Genomic DNA, 20944 nt, shown 5'->3' with positions numbered 1-20944 from the left:
CCTGGACTCAGGTGATCCTCCCACCTCTGCCTCCAACGTAGCTGGGACTACAGGTGCACACCACCATGCCCAGCTAATTTTTAAATTTTTTTATAGAAATGAGGTCTCACTATGTTGTCCAGGCTGGTCTTGAACTCCTGGGCTCAAGTGATCCTCCACCTCAGCTTCCTAAATCTCTGGGATTACAGGAGTGAGCCACCATGCCAGACCTCTAAAGTGTTCTTGACAACCCCCTTTGTAATGACATTAGCACCTTTTTACCTTCCTTACAGTTGGAAGTACAAAACACTTAACCCATTTCCATAATCATTTCTGTCAAATATTTCTCAAGTAATTGTGAAAGACTTTGATTCCTATTCTGTTTGATTTCTAACGAAAGAATCATCCTGTCTTTGTATAACTTTAATATTTTTTCTTGTTTTACTCGCAGACTATCAAGATCTCCACTTAGGGAAGTGGGAATCTTATTTGCGGAACATTGGGCAGAAGCTTTGCCATTGGCTGGTGGAGAAGGAGGAGGCAGAATGTCTGCATTGTTACACCATACAGCTCAAACTTCAGAAGATTTTGGGTTAAGCAGTTATCATTAGTCTGCAAATGATCGTGTTTTCACCTGATCATTAGAAACTAATGAAACACCTTTTAAGTCTTATGAATTCAGGTTACACTGTTTTCCAGATGCCTTGGCAGCTGGTACAGGTAGGATTGGGCTAGGTTTTGTGGGGAATGATGGAAGGGAAAAAAACTCATCTTTCATGTTCTCTAATTCTTGCTGAAGTTAGACATCTGGGCATGTAAAGATTAGGTTAACTAACTTCCGTTGTTATATAGAACAGAGTTAAATCTGGAGAAATGCTTTGATTATTAGGATTTAAAAAAATAGGTATGAAAGGCAGTTTCCACTTTCATTTTGTTTGTAGGTTTAAATTTATGTTGTTTTGTGGTACAGTTTAAAAATAGTGGATAGCAGCCAGGCGCCGTGGCTCACACCTGTAATCCCAGCACTTTGGGAAGCTGAGGCAGGCGGATCACAAGGTCAGGAGTTCGAGGCCAGCCTGGCCAACATGGTCAAACCCCATCTCTACTAAAAATACAAAAATTAGCTGGGCGTGGTGGCGGGTGCCTATAGTCCCAGCTATTCGGGAGGCTGAGGCAGGAGAATCACTTGAACCCAGGAGGCGGAGGTTGCAGTGAGCCGAGATCGCGCCGCTGCACTCCAGCCTGGGCGACAGAGCGAGACTCCGTCTAAAAAAAAAAAATAGTAGATAGCTTTTTTATATTTTGCCTTCTGTACTAAATATCATAAGTGATTTTAACTTTTTGTGTGTGAAGGTATACTCATACTGTTGGATGTATTGTCTTTTGTAGGGCCTCTGAAAAATGGAACCAAATTCTCTGAGGACTAAAGTCCCAGCTTTCTTATCTGATTTGGGGAAGGCCACATTGAGGGGAATCAGAAAGTGTCCCCGATGTGGCACATACAATGGAACCCGGGGACTGAGCTGTAAGAACAAGACATGTGGAACCATATTCCGCTACGGTGCACGCAAGCAGCCTAGTGTTGAAGCTGTCAAAATCATTACAGGCTCTGATCTTCAGGTCTACTCAGTGCGGCAAAGAGACCGGGGCCCTGATTACCGATGCTTTGTGGAGCTCGGGGTTTCAGAGACAACAATCCAGACAGTGGATGGGACGATCATCACTCAGCTGAGCTCTGGACGGTGTTATGTCCCCTCATGCCTGAAAGCTGCCACTCAAGGCGTTGTGGAAAACCAGTGCCAGCACATCAAGCTGGCGGTGAACTGCCAGGCAGAGGCCACCCCTCTGACCCTGAAGAGCTCGGTCCTGAATGCAATGCAGGCCTCCCCGGAAACCAAACAGACCATCTGGCAGTTGGCCACGGAACCCACAGGTCCTCTGGTGCAGAGAATTACTAAAAACATCTTGGTGGTGAAATGCAAGGCAAGCCAGAAGCACAGTTTGGGGTATTTGCATACATCTTTTGTGCAGAAAGTCAGTGGCAAAAGCTTGCCTGAGCGCCGCTTCTTCTGCTCCTGTCAGACTCTGAAATCGCACAAGTCAAATGCCTCCAAGGATGAGACAGCCCAGAGATGCATTCATTTCTTTGCTTGCATCTGTGCCTTTGCCAGTGATGAGACACTGGCTCAGGAATTCTCAGACTTCCTAAATTTTGATTCCAGCGGTAGGTGGTATGGTTGATGTGGTTATTACGTTTTTCTAAAACTGCAATGAAAAGAGTTCCACTGATGCATTTGGAGATTGTCTTAGCAACCTTCAGAAACAGTTGCTAGATAATTCAAATGAAAAGTGTTCCTTCTTTTTTTTTTTTTTTTTTTTTTTTTTTGAGACAAGGTCTCACTTTGTTGCCCAGGCTAGAGTGCAGTGGCCTGATCACAGCTCACAGCAGCCTTGACCTCCCAGGCTCGAGATCCTACCACCTCAGTCCCCGCAGATAGCTAGGACCACAGGCACGTGCCACCATGCCTGGCTAATTTTTTTAATTTTTTGCAGATAGGGGTCTTACTTTGTTGCCGAGGCTGGTCTTGAACTCCTGGGCTGAAGCAGTCCTCCTGCCTCAACCTCCCAAAGTGCTGAGATCACAGGTGTGAGCCGCCACACCTGGTTGCATTCCTTCTTTCAGTCTCAGTCAGCACACTTGCATAAAGGTTGGTTGGTTGGTTGAAATTAATGATCAAGAGACAGAATCTCTTGATTTTTTTTTTTTTTTTTTTTTTTTGAGACAGAATCTTGCTCCATCACAAACGCTGGAGTGCAGTAGCACAACCTTGGCTCACCGCAACCCCTGCCTCCTGGGTTCAAGGAATCCTCATGCCTCAGTCTCCCAAGTAGCCGGGATTACAGGCGCCTGCCACCATGCCTGACCAATTTTTGTATTTTTAGTAGAGACAGGGTTTCTCCATGTTGGCCAGGCTGGTCTCAAACTCCTGGCCTCAGGTGATCTGCCTGCCTCAGCCTCCCAAAGTACTGGGATTACAGGCATGAGCCACTGCACCCAGTCTAAAGGAACTTATTTATTTATTTATATATTTATTGAGATGGAGTCTCACTCTGTCACCCAGGCTGGAATGCAATGGCGCAATCTCAGCTCACTGCAATCTCCACCTCCTGGGTTCAAGCGCTTCTCCTGCCTCAGCCTCCTGAGTAGCTGGGACTACAGGCATGTGCCACCATGCCTGGCTAATTTCTGTATTTTTAGTAGAGATGAGGTTTCACCATGTTGGCCAGGCTGGTCTCAAACTCCTGACCTCAGGTGATCCACCCGCCTCGGCCTCCCAGAGTGCTGGGATTACAGACGTGAGCCACCGCACCCGGCCCAAGGAACTTATTTTAAAACAAGCAATCACTCCATAATTTTTTTTTTGTTTTTGTTTTTGGTTTGTTTTTTGAGACAGCGTCTGCCTCTGTCGCCCAGGCTGGCATGCAGTGACATAATCACGGCTCATTACAGCCTTGACCCTCCTGGGCTAAAGTGATCCTCCCACTTCAGCCTCTCGAGTAGCTGGGAACACAGGCGTGGTAATTTTTTATTTTTTGTAGAGTTGGGGTCTGCCTATGTTGCCCAGCCTGGGATAATTCGTTTGGGGGATTTTTAAAAAGAAATTAACTTTTCGCTACATAGAGGCCTATACTTATACTTACCCTTGGATAGGATTAATAATTCAGAAATCTTCTTTTTTTTAGGTCTTAAAGAGATTATTGTACCCCAGTTAGGTTGCCATTCAGAATCAACAGTATCTGCTTGTGAGTCTACTGCCTCTAAGTCAAAGAAGAGGAGAAAGGATGAAGTATCTGGTAAGAGTCTGGTTGGTTGGTTTGGTGGTATTGTCTTTAGAGATTGTTTTACTGCGTTTTATGTCTTTGACTGAACCTCAGCAATTATAAGAAAATACTATATTTTATTTTATTTTTATTAAAATAAAGAGACAGGGGTCTTACCATCTTGCCCAGGCTGGCCTCGAACTCCAGGCCTTAAGTGATTCTCCCATCTTGGCCTCCCAGAGTGCTGGAATTATAGGTGTGAGCTATCACACCTGGCCAAGAAATATTATGTTTTTGTTCTTATGGGTTTTTTTCCTGAGAAAAGTTTTACTCTCCATTGATGATTCTTTTTCAAGTTAAGCTAAAAGTTTGATCCCTTAGCCAAAAATAAGATCCAACCAAATTCTACTTTTACTGTATATGTTTGTACATCCCTTAAACAGATTAATTTTATACCTTAATCTGCCTTAGGATAGTATTATGAAGTTTTCATCCATAGAGTGTTTAAAAAAATTTTGTGACAATGGTTATATTCCCCACACTAATTTAGAAATATAGGTTATTGTCTTCATTTTCAGTATATGGAGAAACACACACATACACACACCCACACACACATTTTTTTCTTTTTTTTTTTTTTGAGATGGAGTCTTGCTCTGTCGCCCAGGCTGGAGTGCAGTGGTGCGATCTCAGCTCACTGCAACCTCTGCCTCCCGGGTTCAAGCAATTCTCATATCAGCCTCCTGAGTAGCTGGGACTAAGGGTGCACGCCCAGTTAATTTTTATATTTTTAGTAGAGATGGGGTTTCACCATATTGGTCAGACTGGTCTTGAACTCCTGACCTCAGGTGATCCACCCGCTTTGGCTTCCCATAGTGCTGGGATTACAGGCCTGAGCCTGTAATAAGTAAGGCGTGAGCCGCTGCACCCAGCCTTATTTATTTATTTATTTATTTAGAGATGGAGTCTCGCTCTGTTGCCCAGGCTGGAGTACACTGATGCGATCTTCGGCTCACTGCAACCTCCACTGCCCAGGTTCAAGCAATTCTTCTGCCTCAGCCTCTTGAGTAGCTGGGATTACAGGCACCCACCACCATGCCTGCCTAATTTTTGTATTTTTAGTAGAGACGGGGTTTCGCCATGTTGGCCAGGCTGGTCTTGAACTCCTGACCTCAGGTGATCCACCCGCCTTGGCCTCCCAAAGTGCTGGGATTACAGGTGTGAGCCACTATGCCTGGCCAGGCCACATTTTTAAATTCAAATGCTTAATACTAGTGTCAGTTAAGGACTCTGATAAATCAATATGAAAATGGTGAAGTATCCTAGTAGGTAAGCATCAAGAGACCTAGAGTCTAAACAAAATGAAAATATTACTTGGTCCACACCCATGGACCAAACTCCAAACTTACTAGTAGACAGAGAAATGCAAACATTTTAGAAATGCAAAATTAAAACAGGATACCTTTTGCTACCAAATTAGCAAAGTTTGTGTGTTTTTTTGTTTGTTTGTTTGTTTGTTTTTTAAGAGATGAGTTCTCACTCTGTTGCCCAAGCTGGAGTGCAGGGGCACAATCATGGCTCACTGCAGCCTGGACCTCCTAGGCTCAAGAGATCCTCCTGCCTCAGCCTCCCAAGTAGCTGGGACTACAGGCACAAGCCACCATGCCTGGCTAATTTTTTGGTTTGTTTTTTGTAGAGACAGGGTTTCACTGTGTTGACCAGGCTGGTCTCAAACTCCTGACCTCAAGTGATCCTCCTGTCTCAGCCTCCCAAATTGTTGGAATTACAGGTGTAAGCCACCATGCCCAGCTGGCAAAGTTTTTTAAAATGATGAGACCACAGGCAAAGGTAAAATCCAGGCTCTCTGGCATGGCTAGTGTAGTATACATTGCTATAATCATTGGTATATAGCTTGTAGTATCTGTTAAGATCCTTAAAATGGTCCTACCTATAGGAAATATTGCTAGGGATGGATCAGGTGGTCATGCACAAGAGTTTTGGTGCTGGGAAGTTGAAGAAAGATGGAGAAACAAAGTGACATGGTCATTTGTGTATTTTAGAGAGGCAATTCTGGCAGGAATATAGAGCAGAAATTGTTGTTAAATGTTTACTTATTAGTCTTTCCCCTTTTTTTGGAAATGGAGTCTTGCTCTGGATTGTGCAGTGGCGTGATCTTGGCTCACTGCAACCTCCACCTCCTGGGTTCAAGCAATTCTGCTGCCTTAGCCTCCCGAGTAGCTGGGATTACAGGCTCCTGCCACCACGCTTGGCTATTTTTTTTTTTTCTTTTTTGAGGTGGAGTTCGGCTCTTGTTTCCCAGGCTGCAGTGTGATGGCGCGATCTCAGCTCACTGCAGCCTCCATCTCTCGGGTTCAAGTGATTCTCCTGCCTCGGTCTCCTAAGTAGCTGTGATTACAGGTGCTCGCCACCACACCCAGCTAATTTTTGTATTTTTAGTAGAGATGAGGTTTCACCATGTTGGCCAGACTGGTCTCAAACTCCTGACTTCAGGTGATCCACCCGTCTCGGCCTCCCAAAGTGGTGGGATTACAGGTGTGAGCCACCATGCCCGGCCCCACTTCTGAATAATCTTTTCTAAGGAAATAATTATTGGTATAGGAAAAACATTTTGTCTGGAGATGTTGATTTTATGATTATTTAGAAAATTAAAAAATTAGAAACAACTAAGGGTTAACCACTGGGGATAGTTAAATGAACCATGGTAAAGCCACTTTACCATAGAATATCAGGCAGGCATAAAAATGATTATAGTCTGGGTGCAGTGGTGCATGCCTGTAGTCCCAGCTACTCAGGAAGCTGAGGCAGGAGGGTCCCTTGAGCCCGGGAGCTCAAGGCTCTAGCACACTGTGATTGGACCTGTGAATAGCCACTGCATTCCAGCCTGGGCAATATAGCAAGACCTCATCTCTAAAAAATAAAAATTAAAAACAAGTGATAATAAAGAATTTGGGAAAATGCTCAGATCACTTGGGTAGCCAGATAAAGTATAGAATACTCAGTTAAACTTGAATTTCAGTTAACAAATAATTTTTTTTTTTTTTTGAGACAGTCTCGCTCTGTCGCCCAGGCTGGAGTGCAGTGGCGCAGTCTCGGCTCACTGCAAGCTCCGCCTCCTGGGTTCAGGCGATTCTCCTGCCTCAGCCTCCTGAGTAGCTGGGACTACAGGCACCTGCCACCGCGCCCGGCTAATTTTTTATATTTTTAGTGGAGTTGGGGTTTCACCATGTTAGCCAGGATGGTCTCAAGCTCCTGACTTCATGATCAGCCCACCTGGGCCTCCCAAAGTGCTGGGATTACAGAACGAATAATTTTTAGTATAAGTATTTCCATGCAATATTTGTGACATACTTTGATACTAAGACATTATTTGTTGTTTATCTGAAATTTAAAAGAACATTTTCTTTTTGCTAAATTTGGCAACTCTGGTAAAATCACAACTACTTAAAAATCACAAAACCAATAACATATTCACAGAGAAGAAAACGGAAGACAGTTCACTAGAAAAGTCATCGTAATTGTCTGACAGGTGGGAGCAATAAGTGAATTTTTTTCTTCCTTTCATTTCTGTTTATTCACCCAATTTCCTATAAAGAGCATAAGAAAGCTAAAATTTTATGTGTAAAGACTAATGCTAACTCCTAGAAACTGTGAAGCTAACCTAGAAATTAGCAAAGACTGTTTATATGTTTTAGACTCTAAAAATTAACATCAAATCAATTTATATTTAGCAGATACATTGTTAAACCTGTAATGATTTGTGGTTTAGGTGCACAGATGAACAGTTCACTACTGCCTCAAGATGCAGTGAGCAGTAATCTAAGGAAAAGTGGCCTGAAAAAGCCTGTGGTTGCTTCCTCGTTAAAAAGGCAGGGTAAGTTTCCCTTCCCTAGAATAGGCTACAGTGGTGGAAAGTCATCCTAAAGAAGCCAGAAGCAGTATAATCATGCACATTGTCACCCAAAGAGTCCCAGCATAAATACTAACAGAAGCACTGAGGCTGAGGTCCCTCCTGTCCCACCAGTTTCAAATCATGCTCAAAGCTAAATTATGCTGGAGGCCATTATCCTTAGCAAACTAATGCAGGAACAGAAAACCAAATACAGTATGTTCTTACTTATAAGTGGGAGCTAAATGATGAGAACACATGGACACATAGAGGGGAGCAACACACACTGGGGCTTATTGGAGGGTGAAACGTGGGAGGAGGGAGGAAAGGTGGAAGGGGGTGAGAGGATCAGGAAAAATAACTAATGGATACTAGGCTTAATAACCTGGGTGATGAGGCTGGGTGTGATGGCACATGCCTGTAATCCCAGCACTTTGGGAGGCCAAGCCAGGTGGATTACTTGAGGCCAGCAGTTCGAGGCCAGCCTGGCCAACGTGGCAAAACCCTGTCTCTACCTAAACAAACAAACAAACAAAACATATGTGTAATTAAATTTTAAAAATACCTGGGTGATGAAATAATCTTTTTTAATTTAAAAAAATAATTTTTAAAAAAAACTAAATTATGTCTAAAACCATAAAGATAGAGAACAGATTAGTAGTTGCCAGGATTTAAAGAGGGGGTTGGGGCTGAGCACGGTGCTCACGCCTGTAATCCCAGCACTTTGGGAGACTGAGGCAGGCAGATCACCTGAGGTCAGGAGTTTGAGACCAGTCTGGCCAACATGGTGAAACCCTGTCTCTACTAAAAATAGAAAAAATTAGCCAGATGTGGTGGCAGACGTCTGTAATCCCAGCTACTCAAGAGGCTGAGGCAGGAGAATCACTTGAACCCGGGAGGCAGAGGTTGCAGTGAGCCAAGATCGCACCATTTTCCTCCATCCTGGGCAATAAGAGCAAGACTTAGTCTCAAAAAAAAAAGAAAGAGGGGGTTGGGAGGGTTGTAACAGCAGCAATAAAAGAGTAGCACAGGGAGTCTTTGTGATGGACTGTTTTATGTCTTGACTGTGGTGTTGGTCACACAAGTCTACACATGCCCTAAAATTGCATGGAACTATATGCATGCATACCACACACAAGTACATAAAGCTGGTGAGATGTGAATAAGGTCACTAGATTGTAACCATGTCATTTTCCTGACTGTGATGTACTATAGTTTTACAAAATGTTACTCTTGGGTGAATCCGGATGAAGGGTATAGAAGCCTTATATTTCTTACAACTGCGTGTGAATGTACAATTACCTTAAAAAGTAATTTATTGTATTTATTTTTATTTATTTATTTATTTATTGGAGATGGAGTCTCACTCTGTTGCCCAGGCTGGAGTACAATGACATGATCTTGGTCACTGCAACCTCCGCCTCTGGGTTCAAGCGATTCTCCTGTTTTAGCCTCCCAAGTAGCTGGAATTACAGGTGCACGCCACCATGCCCGGCTAATTTTTGTATTTTTAGTAGAGATGGGGTTTCACCATGTTGTCCAGGCTGGTCTCAAACTCCTGACCCCAAGTGATCTGCTCACCTCAGCCTCACAAAGTACTGAGATTACAGGTGTGAGCCACCACGACTGGCCTAAATTATGTCTTTAAACAAAAAAATTCTGACATGTTTAGCAGCAGGTGTCTTGCAGGATGTGTTCATCTTATTGCTTATTACTCATGTGCAATTGGTATAGAGATTCAAAGTTGAAGGAAAAAGGCGTTTTATGTGACTGGGTGTGGTGGCTCACGCCTATAATCCCAGCACTTTGGGAGGCCGAGGTAGGAGTAGTGAGACTCCATCTCTACCAAAAAAAACACAAAAAACAAAAAAAAATTAGCTGGGTGTTGTGTCACATGCCTGTAAACTCAGCTACTTAGGAGGCTGAGGTGAGAAGATTGCTTGACCCTGGGATGTCGAGGCTGCAGTGAGTCATGATTGCACCACTGCACGGGTAACAGGATGAAATCTTGTCTAAAATAAAGAAAAAAAAGAATAATATAAAACAATACTAATTAAGTAATTCATTAAGAACTTATGACCAAGCACGGTGGCTCACGCCTGTGATCCCAGCACTCTGGGAAGCTGAGGCAGGCGGATGGATCACTTGAGGTCAGGAGTTTGAGACCAGCCTGGCCAACATGGTAAAACCCTGTCTCTACTAAAAAGTATAAAAAATGTAGCCAAGTATGGTGGCATGTGCCTGTAATCCCAGCTACTTGGGAGGCTGAGGCAGGAGAATCGCTTAAACCTGGAAGGTGAAGGTTGCAGTGAGCCAAGATCATGCTACTAGACTCCAGCCTGGGCAACAGAGTGAGACTCCGTCTCAAAAAAAAAAAAAAAAAAAAAAAAGAACTTACGCACTTAGGCATTCTAGGCATAAGTGTTTAAGGAAAGTCACAAAGTAAGCAGATCAACAGCATCAAATAGGTTTTTTTATTATTTATATACATATATTTTTTCAAGACAGAGTCTTGCTTTGTCACCCAGGCTGGAGTGCAATGGCGTGATCTCAGCTCACTGCAACCTTCGCCTCCCAGGTTCATCTCGTGCCTCAGCCTCCCAAGTAGCTGGGATCACAAGCATTTGCCACTATACCCTTCTAATTTTTGTATTTTTGGTAGAGATGGGGTTTTGCTATGTTGGCCAGGCTGCTCTCGAACTCCTGGCCTTAAGTGATCCGCCTGCCTTGGCCTCCCAAAGTGCTGGGATTATAGCAATTAGCCACTGTGCTTGGCTGATTTTTAATAATTTTTTGTCACTTCCTTTGGTGCAAAGAAAAAGGAAGGTAGCTTCAATCTAAATTGTCACTGTATGCCTTTACCTCTGATAATCTTAGTTTTAAATGAATAGTCATTGAGGCATTATCTCTACAAAAGGTGATACTGTACTTCAGACACGTGAAGATATTTTGTTGTTGGCGGTATTTTTTTGTTGTGTTTTTCTTTGACACAGGTCTTGCTCTGTCACTCAGGCTGGAGCGCAGTGGCGGGGATACAGCTCGCTGCAGCCTTCTGGGCTCAAATTATCCTCCCACCTTAGCCTCCCAAGTAGCTGGGACTACAGGCACATGCCACCACACTTGATTATTTATTTGTATTTTTAGTAGAGACGGAGTTTCGTCATGTTGCCCAATCTGGTCTCAAACTCCTGGGCTCAAGAGATCCACCCGCCTCGGCCTCCCAAAGTGCTAGGATTACAGGCATGAGCCACCGTGCCCGGAATAAAGATATTTTAAGAAAAGAAATAGAATGATAGATCTGTGGAAGGCTCTTGAATTTGGAGATATCCAGATGCATATCTTCATCTTAGAAGAGAGGAACTTGAGATATGGACCCTCGTCACTCAGTGGGTGGGGATCCTAGGTCCCATAGCCTTTTTTTTTTTTTTTTTTTTGAGACAGAGTCTCACTCTGTCGCCTAGGCTGGAGTACAGTGGCACAATCTCAGCTCACTGCAACCTCCGCCTCCTGGGCTCAAGCGATTCTCCTGCCTCAGCCTCCCGAGTAGCTGAGATTACAGGCGCACACCACTACGCCTGGCTAATTTTTTGTATTTTTAGTAGAGACAGGGTTTCACCATGTTGGCCAGGCTGGTCTCGAATTCCTGACCTCAGGTGATCCACCCGCCTTGGCCTCCCAAAGTGCTGGGATTACAGGCGTGAGCCACTGCACCCAGCTTCCCATAGCCTTTTGACTCCGACCTCTAAACTCTGGCTCCATTAAATTCCATCACTCGTTACTGTTTTTTCCAGTTATTTACTCCAGGGCTGCAAGATTTCACTCTTTCACTTATATTTAAGAGTGAATTTGGCTGGGTGCAGTGGCTCATGCCTGTAATGCCAGCACTTTGGGAGGCCGAGGTGGTTGGATCACGAGGTGAGGAGTTCAAGACCAGCCTGACCAAGATGTCAAAACCCCATCTGTACTAAAAATACAAAAATTAGCCAGGCACGGTAGCAGGTGCCTGTAAATCCCAGCTACTCAGGAGGCTGAAGCAGGAGAATCGCCTGAACCCGGGAGGCAGGGGTTGCAGTGAGCTGAGATCATGCCACTGCACTCTAGCCTGGGCAACAGAGCAAGACTCGGTCTCAAAAAAAAGTGAATTCATTCATTTTACATTTCTGAATACAAGGTTTTAGGTTTTAAGTCTAAAGGTATTATCATTGCAACCCACAGTGCGTGCATCACTCAGTCATCTATTTGTGGTCAACCTTGGCATGAAAGAATATGTTCATTATTGAGAGGGTCTGGGGCATATGGATACATGTTCATCAGGAATAAAACTAATTTATAAACCTCTAAAACAGCCATTATTTTTATTTATTTACTTATTTATTTTTACTTGAGATGGGGTCTCACTCTACACCCAGCCTGGAGTGCAGAGGCATGATCTCGGCTCACTGCAGCCTCTGCCTCCTGGGCTCAAACAATCCTCTCACCTCAGCCTCCTGAGTAGTTGGGACCACAGTCACGCACCACCATGCCAGGTTAATTTTTTTTTTTTGAGATGGAGTCTCGCTCTGTCACCCAGGCTGGAGTGCAGTGGCACAATCTCGGCTCACTGCAAGCTCCGCCTCCCGGGTTCATGCCATTCTCCTGCCTCAGCCTCCCGAGTAGCTGGGACTACAGGTGCCTGCCACCTCGCCTGGCTAATTTTTTGTATTTTTAGTAGAGACGGGGTTTCACTGTATTAGCCAGGATGGTCTCGATCTCCTGACCTCATGATCCACCCGCCTCGGCCTCCCAAAGTGCTGGGATTACAGGCGTGAGCCACCAAGCCCAGCCTAAAACAGTCATTATATAGGACCATTCTTTTATATGCAGTTTAGTGTTGCTTCTCATTTCGTATTTTCTTTTTCTTTTTTTTTTTTTAGAGTCTCACTCTTGCCCAGGCTGGAGTGCTGTGGCACGATCTCAGTTCACTGCAACCTCCGCCTCCCGGGTTCAAGCAATTCTCCCACCTCAGCCTCCAGAGTAGCTGTGATTAAGGTGCATGCCACCACGCCCAGCTAATTTTTGTATTTTTAGTAGAGACGGGGGTTTCACCATGTTGGCCAGCCTGGTCTTGAATTCCTGACCTCAGGTGGCTCACGCCTGTAATCCAGCACTTTGGGAGGCCAAGGCGTGCAGATCATTTGAGGCCAGGAGTTTGAGACCAGCCTGGGAAACACGGCAAAAACCCTGTCTCTATTAAAAAGAAAACAAAATTGGCTGGGCATGGTGACGCACCTGTAGTCCCAGCTACTCAGGAGGCTGAGGCATGAGAATCGCTTAAACCTGGGAGGTGGAGGTTGCAGTGAGCTGAGATCATGCCACTTCACCCCAACCAGGGCGACAGAGTGAGACTGAAGAAAAAAAAAAAAATCCCAGAATATCTTATTTCACTTAGTTTATTTGCTTTCTTTGAAGTTCAGCTTCAAGTTTTTTTTTTTTTTTTCTGGACAAACTTATTAACACTTCTCCCAGGACTTCAGAAGGCTGAGGCAGGTGGATTGCTTGAGCCTAGGAGTTCGAAGCCAGCTGGGCAACATGACAAAGCCTTGTCAATAAATAAAAAACAGGCCGGGCGCGGTGGCTCACGCCTGTAATCCCTACACTTTGGGAGGCCGAGGCAGGTGGATCACCTGAGGTCAGGAGTTGGAGACCAGCCTGGCCAACATGATGAAACCCCATCTCTACTAAAAATACAACAATTAGCCGGGTGTGGTGGCGGGTGCCTGTAATCCCAGCTACTCAGGAGGCTGAGGCAGGAGAATCGCTTGAACGCAGGAGGCAGAGATTGCAGTGAGCTGAGATTGTGCACTGCACTCCAGCCTGGGCAACAAGGGCGAACCTCTGTCTCAAAAAAATAAAATAAAAATAAAAAAACTTGTTAACTTTTTCAAACTTCAATTAGCTGTTTATTTTGTAAGAAAAGTTACTAAAGAAGTGTGTATGTGTGGTTTTTTTTTCCCTAGCCTGTGGTCAGCTGTTAGATGAGGCACAAGTGACTTTATCCTTCCAAGACTGGCTGGCCAGTGTCACAGAACGCATCCATCAAACCATGCACTATCAGTTTGATGGTAAGTATTGTTCATCTAACTGGGCTCTTGCTGAAAGTAGGAGAAATTAAGGTAATTGTGCTGTAATTCTCCTCTGATAGGAAAAGTAATTGGACTTCAGTCCAGAGAGCACTGGGCCACAAGAAAGTAGAAATCTAATTGAAAGAAAAAAACAATCACATAGTTAAAATTCAGGCGCAGCAAAATTATTATAATTTAGAGACAGAAGAGAAAAAACATAGCAAATAATAAGTAAAGGCAGGTAGTCTTATTGCTTGCATAAGTTCGTGTGCACGTGTGTGTGTGTGTGTGTGTGTGTGTGTGTGTGTGGTGAGGGAGATACTGAAGCTTTATGAGACTATTCTAACTCTCAAACTTAAAGCAAGGGGAAAAAAGATTAGAGAAAATCTAAGCCTGCACAACATAGTGAACCCCATCTCTACAAAAAATAGTGCCATTGCACTCCAGCCTGGGAAACGAAGCGAGACCCTGTATGGAAAAAAGAAAAATTGAAAATCTAAACACATGAGACTAAGATAGTTATATAGAATTACTAAACATACTGGCCGGGCATGGTGACTCTCACCTGTAATCCGACACTTTGGGAGGCCGAGGTGGGCGGATCACTTGAGGTCAGGAGTTCAAGACAAGCCTGGCCAACATGGCGAAACCCTATCTCTACTAAAAATACAAAACAATTAGCCAGGCATTATAGTGGGTGCCTGTAGTCCCAAATACCTGGGAGGCTGAGGTGGGAGAATTGCTTGAACCCGGGAGGCGGAGGTTGCAGTGAGCCAAGATCGCACCATTGCACTCCAGCCTGGGCAACAGTGAGACTCCATCTAAAAAAAAAAAAAGGGACATAAACATGCTGAGGAAGATTGGAGAACACAGGCTGGATTTGGGTGTTATTTGTTATAGTCTCATGGAACGTCACCAGTTTCAGATCTAGCCAGTCTCTGCTTGTTGCCTTAAAAGTATCCTATTAGCAGCCGGGTGCGGTGGCTCATGCCTGTAATCCCAGCACTTTGGGAGGCTGAGGCGGGCGGATCACGAGGTCAGAAGATTGAGACCATCCTGGCTAACACAGTGAAACCCCATCTCTACTAAAAATACAAAAAAATTAGCCAGGTGTGGTGGCGGGTGCCTGTAGTCCCAGCTACTCGGGAGGCTGAGGCAGGAGAATGGCGTGAACCCAGGAGGTGGAGCTTACAGTGATCTGAGATTGCACCACTGCACTCCAGCCTGGGTGACTAAGTGAGACTCCATCTCAAAAAAAAAAAAAAAGGATCCTATAGCTGGGCATGGTGGCAGAGGCCTGTAGTCCCAACTACTCAGGAGGCTGAGGTAGGTGAATCACTTGTCGCCCAGGCTGGAGTGCAGTGGCGTGATCTTGGCTCACTGTAATCTCCACCTCCCAGGTTCAAGCAATTCTCCTGCCTCAGCCTCCCAAGTAGCTGGGATTACAGGCACGCACCACCATGCCTGGCCAATTTTTTGTATTTTTAGTAGAGATGGGGTTTCACCATGTTAACCAGGCTGGTCTTGAACTCCTGACCTCAGGTGATCCACCTACCTCGGCCTCCCAAAGTGCTGGGATTACAGGCGTGAACCACCGTGCCCAGCCCAGAAAACAGAATATTGATAATACTATAAGCTAAACACTTGTAGTCCTCTTCCATCCCATCCTATTCCCTCTTCCATCCCATTCCTGTACCACCCTCTATTCCATCTTACCATCTCCATTACTACCACCTTTGTCCAGGTTTCCATCAGCTCGCTCCTTGACTATGAGTGTGTGTGTTTTACCTTTTTGAAGTTAATTCTTTTTTATTTTTTGAGACAGTCTTGCTCTGTCACACAGGCTGGAGTGCAGTGGTACAATCTCAGTTCACTGCAACCTCCACCTCCCAGGCTCAAGAAATTCTCGTGTTTCAGCCTCCTGAGTAGCTGGGATTATAGGCATGTGTCACCACTCCTGGCTAATTTTTGTATTTTTAATAGAGACAGGGTTTCACCATGTTGGCCAGGCTGGTCTCGAACTTCTGACCTCAAGTGATCCGCCTGCCTAGGCCTCCCAAAGTGTTGGAATTACAGGTGTGAGCCACCACACCTGGTCTGGACAGAATTTTTAAGAAAGACTGAACTCACTTGACCCCCTCCCCTTAACTCTTTTTGTTGACCTAATGTCTGACAAGTTTCTTTTCTTTTTTTTTTTTTGAGACAGAGTCTCACTCTGTCGCCCAGGCTGGAGTGCAGTGGCGTGATCTTGGCTCACTGCAACCTCCGCCTCCCAGGTTCAGGCGATTCTCCTGCCTCAGCCTCCCAAGTAGCTGGGACTACAGGCGCATGCCACCATGCCCGGCTAATTTTTTGTATTTTTAGTAGAGATGGAGTTTCACCATGTTAGCCAGGATGGTCTCAATTTCCTGACCTGGTGATCCACCTGCCTCATCCTCCCAAAGGGCTGGGATTACAGGTGTGAGCCACTGTGCCTGGCCGCAAGGTTCTTTAAGAGGTTGGTTAAGTACTTTCAAGTATTTTACCTGCCTTGAGGTCATATTCAGAGAGAAAGACAGATGCTTGCTGGGTAAGCAGTGTCCTAACTTGTAGTCCCTCAGCATTCATGGTGCTGACCATCGGGTGAGAGAGCATGTCATTAGTTTGCTTAGACATGAATGCAAATAGCAAGAACCTGGGGATAGCGAGCAAAAGGGAATCAAGTGGAGGCAGCCACCTCGGCCTCATTGTTCTCATCCCATCTTACTTCGCATACCCTTTAAGGGGGAAAGTCTGTGCTGTGTTGGTCTTTTTAAAATTTGCGGATTTGAAATGTTATACTTGGTGGATGACAAGGGTCTACTGTGTTGGTTTGTTTTTTCATTGTCTTTTTTCTTTTTTTTCAGTGGAGTCTCACCCTGTTGCCCAAGCTAGAGTGCAGTGGCATGATCTCGGCTCACTGCAACCTCTGCCTCCTGGGTTCAAGCGATTCTCCTGCCTCAGCTTCCTGAGTAGCTGGAATTACAGGCACACACCACCATGCCCAGCTAATTTTTTTTTTTTTTTTTTTTTTTAGTAGAGATGGGTTTTCACCATGTTGGCCAAGCTGGTCTCGAACTCCTGACCTCAGGTAATCCACCCACCTCGGCCTCCCAAAGTGCTGGGATTACAGGTGTGAGTCACCACGCCTGGCCTCTCTTTTCTTTTCTTTTTTTTTCCTTTTTGAGGGAGGGTCTCACTCTGTTGCCCAGGCTGGAGTGCAGTGGCGTGATCATGGCTTACTGCAGCCTCAACCTCCTCGACTCAGTTGATCCTCCCACCTCAGCCTCCCAAGTAGCTGGGACAGCAGGTGCATACCACCACGCCTGGCTAATTTAAAAAAAAATTTTGGCCAGGCACGGTGGCTCACGCCTGTAATCCCAGCACTTTGGGTGGCCGAGGTGGGTGGATCACGAGGTCAGGAGTTTGAGACCAGCCTGGCCAACATGGTGAAACCCCATCTCTACTAAAAATACAAAAATTAGCCAGGCGTGGTGGTGCACGCCTGTAGTCACAGCTACTCAGGAGGCTGAGGCAGGAGGATTGCTTGAACCCGGGAGGCAGAGGTTGCAGTGAGCCGAGATCATGCCATTGCACTCCAGCCTGGGCAACAGAGTGAGACTCCATCTCAAAAAAAAAATTTTTTTTTATAGACACTGGGTCTTTCTTTGTTGCCCAGGCTACACTGTGTTTTTTATGTTTGCAAGGGATCAACAGTAGGACTAGTGACAGTTCTTGGCCCAGAAAGGTCAATCAAAGCCTTCTTTTTGCCTCTGTATAAAGAAATCTCAGTGGTATTTTTAGTTATTACCGTCCCTTGATTCCTTTTCTTTCACCTCTCCCTGTACATCAGAAAGTCCACTGAGTTTCTTTAAATGAGTTGTTTCTTCTTGTTTCCCATAGGCAAACCAGAACCATTGGTGTTCCACATTCCTCAGTCATTTTTTGATGCCCTGCAACAAAGAATATCTATAGGAAGTGCAAAAAAACGGCTCCCCAACTCCACCACAGGTACAGGATTTCCCTTTGGTATAGTGATGGATGTCTCGAACATAGAGAATTATGTTTGGAAAAAATCTGTGTGGAATATTCACCGTGAGTATTCAGAGTTAGGACTTCTACTCACATGTCTGGAGCACAAAGCCTTCAATGATCAGCATATCAATTATCTACATCAACTGATTTGTCACCAAAACCTTTTATATATTTGCCTCTAGAATTTCTTTTTAAAAGTGCTGAGAATCTATAAGGAAATAATAGTACTGTATTAGAAACTAGGTAACAAATACAACAAAAGAAAATGTTATTTTTTGGTAATCTAATTTTGTCCTTTTTTCACGTTGAAGCTTTTGTTCGGAAAGATGCCTTGCCACTGGGAACCTTTTCCAAGTATACTTGGCATATCACTAATATCCTGCAAGTTAAACAAATCTTAGATACCCCAGAGGTGAGAGTTTATTTCTATAACAGTGGGAGGGTTGTGAAGGGAAGAGAGGGAGGCAAGTACAGGGACTATATTTGCACTGGTTCCTTGAGTTACAGACACCAGAGTTTCTTTTTTTCATGCTAAGAGATATTCAGAAATATCCCTGGCTTTATAGTTCTGACTCCAATTTTAATGTGTGTTCCCTATGGCTTGAAAAAAGTATCTTAAATTGGAATATACTTTTCCTTTGCCTTTGGGATTAAAAAAACATAATTTTTCTTATAAATTAAATAATGATCCCCTAATACTTATGATGAGTCCTAGATTTGACTGGCAGGCAGCTAGAAAGTATATAAATAATTTGAGATGATATAATATTTGTGAAGTCAGTGGCACCAGCACAGTTAAACCCTCCTCCCCAAACTACAGCTTTGTTCTCATTAGAGAAATGACCCTTTTTATTTTATTTTATTTTATTTTTGGGATGGAGTCTTGCTCTGTCACCCAGGCTGGAGTGCAGTGGCGCAATCTTGGCTCACTGCAACCTCTGCCTCCCGGGTTCAAGCAATTCCCTTGCCTCAGCCCCCCGGCTAGCTGGGATTACAGGCACGTGCCACCATACCCGGCTAATTTTTGTATTTTTAGTAGAGACAGGGTTTGACCATGTAGGCCAGGCTAGTCTCAAATTCCTGACCTCATGATCCTCCCAAACTGCTGGGATTACAAGGCATGAGCCACTGTGCCTGCCCGAGAAATGACCCTTTAAAAAAAATTTTTTTTTGGTCTTTTTTTTTTGAATTTTGGTTTTTTTGGGACAGAGTCTTACTCTGTTGCCTAGTCTGGAGTACAGTGGTGCAGTCACGGCTCACTCTACCTCCACCTCTTGGGATCAAGTGATCCTCCCACCTCAGCCTCCTGAGTAGCTTGGACTACAGGCATATGCCACCATGCCCAGCTAATTTTTGTAGAGATGGGGTTTCCCCATGTTGCCCAGGCTGGTCTCAAATTCCTGGACTCGAGCAATCTGTCTGCCGCAGTCTCCCAAAGTGCTGGGATTACAGGCATGAGCCACCAGGCCCACCCTATTAATTAAAAAAAAAAAAAAATTTAAGATAGGGTCTTGCTATGTTGCCCAGGCTGGTCTCAAATTCCTGGGTTCAAGCAGTCCTCCCATCTTGGCCTCCCAAAGTACTGTGATTACAGGTGTAATCTGCCTCTTCCAGCCACACTAGACATTTTATGTTTTTATTTTTATTTTTTGGAGACAGAGTCTCTTGCTCTGTTGCCCAGGCTGCAGTGCAGTGGCACGATCTCGGCTCACTGTAACCTCCACCTCCCAGGTTCAAGCAGTTCTCATGCCTCAACCTCCTGAGTAGCTGGGACTATAGGCACGCACCATCATGCCTGGCTAATTTTTGTATTTTTAGTAGAGACAGGGTTTTGCCATGTTGGCCAGGCTGGTCTCAAGCTCCTGATCTCAAGTGATCCGCCCACCTTGGCTTCCCAAAGTGCATGGATTACAGGCGTGAGCCCCTGTGCCTGTCTTACACATTTTAAAATGTTTTTCGGGCTGGGTGCGGTGGCTCACGCCTGTAATCACAGCACTTTGGGAGGCCGAGGCGGGTGGATCACGAGGTCAGGAGATCGAGACCATCCTGGCTAACACAGTGAAACCCCGTCTCTACTAAAAATACAAAAAAATTAGCCGGGCATGGTGGCAGGCTCCTGTAGTCCCAGCTACTCGGGAGGCTGAGTCAGGAGAATGGTGTGAACCCGGGAGGCGGAGCTTGCAGTGAGCCGAGATCGCACCACTGCACTCCAGCCTGGGCGACAGAGCAAGACGCTGTCTCAAAAAATATATATGTATGTATGTTTTTCAAGTAGATCCTGAAAATCTGAGATGGAGTTTTTTTTCCTACAGTAATAGAATTATGTAGAAAATTCAGGCCGCGCACGGTGGCTCACACCTGTAATCTCAGCACTTTGGGAGGCTAAGGCAGGTGGATCACCTGAGGTCAGGAGTTTGAGACCAGCCTGGCCAACATGGTGAAACCCCGTCACAACTAAAAATACAAAAATTATCCAGGCATGGTGGCAGGCACCTGTAATCCCAGCTACTTGGGAGGCTGAGGCAGGAGAATCGCTTGAACCCGGGAGGCGGAGGTTGCAGTGAGCTGAGGTTGCGCCATTGCACTCCAGCCTGGGGGACAAGATCGAGACTTCGTCTCCAAAAAAGTAGAAAATTCAGCATAATGTGATTTGATACATTAAGAGTAGCTTAATTGCAAGGCATTCTTCTGTTCAGGAAAAAAAAATAAGTTGTTTGATAGCTACAGAATTTACATGTGAGCCAGGCATGGTGGCTATAATACCAGCGATTTAGGAGGCTGAGATGAAGGATTGCTTGAGGCCAGGAGTTCAAGACCAGCCTAGGCAACACAGCGAGGCCCCTACTATTTTTTTTTTGTTTGAGACAGAGTCTCACTCTGTTGTCTAGGCTGGAATGCAGGGCACAATCTTGGCTCACTGCAGCCTCTGCCTCCCAGGTTCAAGCAATTCTCCCACCTCAGCCTCCCGAGTAGCTGGGATTACAAGCGCACCATCCTGCCCAGCTAATTTGTATTTTTAGTAGAGACAGGCTTTCACCATGTTGACCAGGCTGGTCCCAAGCTCCTGACCTCAGGTGATCCA

At 45.0% G+C, this 20944-nt stretch overlaps 1 protein-coding gene across 15 annotated transcripts in view, besides 1 other annotated feature; it reads left to right on the top strand.

Annotated features, from left to right (window-relative positions):
* C2orf42 (chromosome 2 open reading frame 42) overlaps nt 1-20944 on the top strand; it is a 41135-nt gene that overhangs the window by 7654 nt on the left and 12537 nt on the right. For 11 of the 15 annotated variants that reach the window (NR_145968.2, NR_145970.2, NR_145972.2 and 8 more), the window contains exons 2-8: nt 431-699; nt 1369-2203; nt 3724-3834; nt 7589-7693; nt 13705-13809; nt 17731-17838; nt 18174-18274. Coding sequence is in view for 9 of the 15 variants with exons in the window: in NM_017880.3 (NP_060350.1) it covers nt 1381-2203; nt 3724-3834; nt 7589-7693; nt 13705-13809; nt 17731-17838; nt 18174-18274 (1353 nt within the window). In the remaining 6 variants the exon portion in view is untranslated. The remainder of the gene's footprint in view (nt 1-430; nt 700-1368; nt 2204-3723; nt 3835-7588; nt 7694-13704; nt 13810-17730; nt 17839-18173; nt 18275-20944) is intronic. The other 4 variants (NR_145967.2, NR_145969.2, NR_145971.2 and 1 more) reach the window with 2 other exon arrangements.
* Nucleotides 1673-2072: an enhancer, noted in NCBI's record as "active region_16002". NCBI's record gives its function as "activates an Ori minimal core promoter by ATAC-STARR-seq in GM12878 lymphoblastoid cells {active_cell/tissue: GM12878}" and the evidence as "EXISTENCE:reporter gene assay evidence [ECO:0000049][PMID:35858748]".

The sequence above is a fragment of the Homo sapiens genome, chromosome 2 (assembly GCF_000001405.40).
Source record: "Homo sapiens chromosome 2, GRCh38.p14 Primary Assembly".
In the NCBI taxonomy this organism is placed as follows: Eukaryota; Metazoa; Chordata; class Mammalia; order Primates; family Hominidae; genus Homo; species Homo sapiens.
Note: the sequence above shows the minus strand (reverse complement) of the source record. Positions and strands in the feature narration are given on the sequence as shown.